We start from the raw sequence: 3,445 nt of genomic DNA, 5'->3' as shown, positions 1-3,445 counted from the left end.
TTTGAAACGAGGAGTTCAAGGCTGTAGGGAACCATGATTACACCATTGTTCTCCCCCCAGGCTAGGTGATAGAACACAACCCTGTCTCTTAAAAAAAATATGACTTTGAAACATTATGATAAAGTCCTGAAAGTGCTCTTATTCGCCCATCCATTTGCACAATGGAATAGCATGTGCTGTGATAACAGAAGTGTAGGGTGCCATGAGAGTCAATTGGAAGATCATCATACCTGGATTATAGGAAGAAATAAGGGAAAGCAACAAGAAAGATCAGGGAAAGTAGAAGCTGACACATTGCAGGTGACTCAAACGTAAGTGGGTGAAGAAAGAACAGGTAAAGGTCTACTTAAAAAAAAGAAAATAAACAACATCAAATTTAATAAGTTATACAAATTTATTTAAAAAAGCAAGATATATGAGGGTAACAATAACAATAAAATCATAAATCATAAAAAATATAATTGCAAAATCCTGACTGGATTGTTTAAAAAAGAAACAATAAGAAAATAGATAAGTTTCAATAAAATTTAATCAAGATAAAGTACACATTTAAAAATTAGAAATAAAGCATATAACAACAGATGTGAAGATATTTAAAGTTGATACTATGATATATTAATATTTTAAGTCTTAATAAAGTAGATAATTTAACTTTAATACGTGAACACAGCAATAACAAAGTAGTATATACTAAAAAAGAGTAACTTTTCTCCAAAAAAACCTTTACAAGCAATGGACTTATAGATTTCCTTCAATAATCAAGAAATGTGAAATGTCAACAAAATGTTCAATGACATACAAAAATGGGGGGGAACCAAATTTTTAACAAAACTTTTGTAAATCGGATATATAATCTGATAATGGCAACAGTGAAGAAAATTACCGAACTCCTTTCAGATAAACATATGGAAAATCTTAGAAAAACTTACCAATATGTTAATAGAAAGTAATATGAAAATCAGAATAAATATAATAAAATTATTGAACAAAACTCAACATTGATTTCTGATTAAAAAGAAAAACACAGTTATAAGGAAAAGTGGAATTACTAACATCTAACTAATATATTAAGGATGTCAATCTAAAATTTGCTAATAGCATCATATTTACAAAATAATAACTATTAACATGAGAAGGAATGTAAGATTTAATAATTAGCATTATATTACAATTCTGGGAATTCTGATCAATGCAATAAAATATCAAGCCGAAATAACTAATTCAAAAGAGGTGATAACATATTATTTACAAATATTACAAGTATAAGGAAACTTAAAATGATCATTTTCTATAATTTATTATAGTAAATTGTTAAAGTCTACCTTATGAAAATAACACTAAGAGAAAATGTTAACAAAAATATCTTTGGAGTTATTTATGTTAATAAAATTTGGAAAAGCCTAAATATTTAGCTAGAAGGAAACTGTACATTGATATAGACTGGCATTAAACTTAGTTTCTTGATTTGATTAAACTTAGTTTCTATGAAACATTTGTATCATTCAAAGTTGTATGTATAGACACTGACTGAAACACAAAGTGGGTTATAATATTGAATATGTGATATAATGGCAACCATGAAGAAAATATCAGAGAACCAAATGGAAGGAAAAGAGAAGAAACTGAATAATGATTACCTTTGGACAGTGGGATCTTAGTTCCTTTTACTCTTCCTACTAATTTAAAATTTACAAATTTATTACCTTGAGAATATGAGAATACATTGTATTTATAATTAGAAAACATAAAATGTGTGCTAAACAAATATACCAAATTCTGTTTAGAATTCACTTCCCCAAGAAACTTTCCTTGATTAATCCCACTGGCATTGATCATTATTTTATATGGCACCCCCATACTTATGTATTCAGTTTCTACCATATTAATTTGCATGTTTTAAAAAGTCAATTTATAAGCATAATTATGGCATTTCTACATTTATATAGTGTAGTCTCCAAACTGAATTATAAACTTGAGGATATGAGGAACCACAGTGTATTTCCAACTATATTTATACAATAAATCATGTGGTACTTTTCACAGAGTGAATGTTGTTAACTTACTGAACACCTGATGAAACATGGGAAAGATGGCAATGTCTCACAAGAGGAACAGACGTGAAATAAAATCCAACATTCTGTATAATTCTTAGTGTCTCTTAACCCTACTTGTTGAATTACAAAAACTACATATACAAAAATTTGAGCATTATACTCTTTAGCTGTACATTATCATTTCAAAACAAACTTATACATGGCTCTCACTATTACAATAATCTTCCTACTGTAAAAACTTTTAAGCTGTAAATTTCTGCCATTACTACATTACCTTCATATTAATTTAGGCCATACTTCTTTCTGAGTTTCTGTCAATATTCATCTCAAGTATTTTTGTGTAAAAATTAGATAGTAACAGGAAAATAGATAACTGCTTCTAGTAGGTAGAAGTCATTACTACAGCTTTGCCTATTAACACATACACACTATTTCTTCATGTCCCAGATGTTCAGGTATATGGGAATGAAACAAATTAATGAGTTGGAACCTCTTGATTCAGTTATTCTGGTTGCAAATAATCTGTATAGCTCATGGATGATTGTTTTACCCTTGACAAAGTGGCTGCAATTGTTACTTACAGATGTAGCCACATTTAATTTCTTTTCTCCACTCCCCACTGCATTGTATTTGTTATTCTTGATATGAGAAATGTGTTAAGAAACATGCCACTAACTGCATGTGCTCCCTATACAATTAGCTACAGAAAGAGGTGATAACTCATATTATTTACAAATATTACAAGTATAAAGTACCTTAAAATAATCATTTTCTATAATTTGTTATCAATCATTAAGTTTATTTTAACAATTATCAATTAGCTACAGAACACGAGTAGTGTTTCTTACTTTAGCCAGATGTAAACATGTGATGCGGTAATATAGTGAAGAATATTACTCACTTCAGGGGATAGGGCTTTGGTCAAGAATTTTGAGAAACTCTTGAAAAAGGAAAAGAAAACCCTCCATGATAGTAATGCAATTCTAAAAGCAAAAGGGGAAAAAATGTAAATGTATTAAATCAAAAAATATTTTAAGGTAAGGCAAAATAGGTATAGAATGGTGAGTCACATAGAAATTGTGAAAGTGAGTAATGACCCAGAAATCAAAGGAGAGGGAAAAATATGGTAGGTGAATATGGTTGCAATGCTAATTAAAAAATGTTATTAGCAGCTGGCTCAATTCAAGTTTTGAATAAATAGAAATAGAGTGTTTATAACAGTACGCTTAATCTACTGGTGACAATATTAAGATAATTGTTGAAATATACTTAAAAGAAGTTAGTGAAAGCAGAGAATGAAAGACTATTGAACTTTTCTGGTTTGTTGTGTAAAAATTTGCCTATATCCAACATACAGGCACAAAAATAAAATACAGGAAATAGAGAGCAAA

General features: G+C 29.1%; 1 annotated feature.

Moving 5' to 3' along the window:
* Positions 1-3,445: part of a centromere (Linear centromere model derived predominantly from reads generated in PMID: 17803354. This region does not represent an actual centromere sequence, as long-range ordering of repeats and unmapped WGS contigs is not provided by the model. For details of model production, see http://arxiv.org/abs/1307.0035.) that runs on past both edges of the window.

This window comes from Homo sapiens, chromosome 20 (assembly GCF_000001405.40).
Source record: "Homo sapiens chromosome 20, GRCh38.p14 Primary Assembly".
Classification (NCBI taxonomy): Eukaryota; Metazoa; Chordata; class Mammalia; order Primates; family Hominidae; genus Homo; species Homo sapiens.
This window is presented reverse-complemented; position numbering and strand designations above follow the sequence as displayed.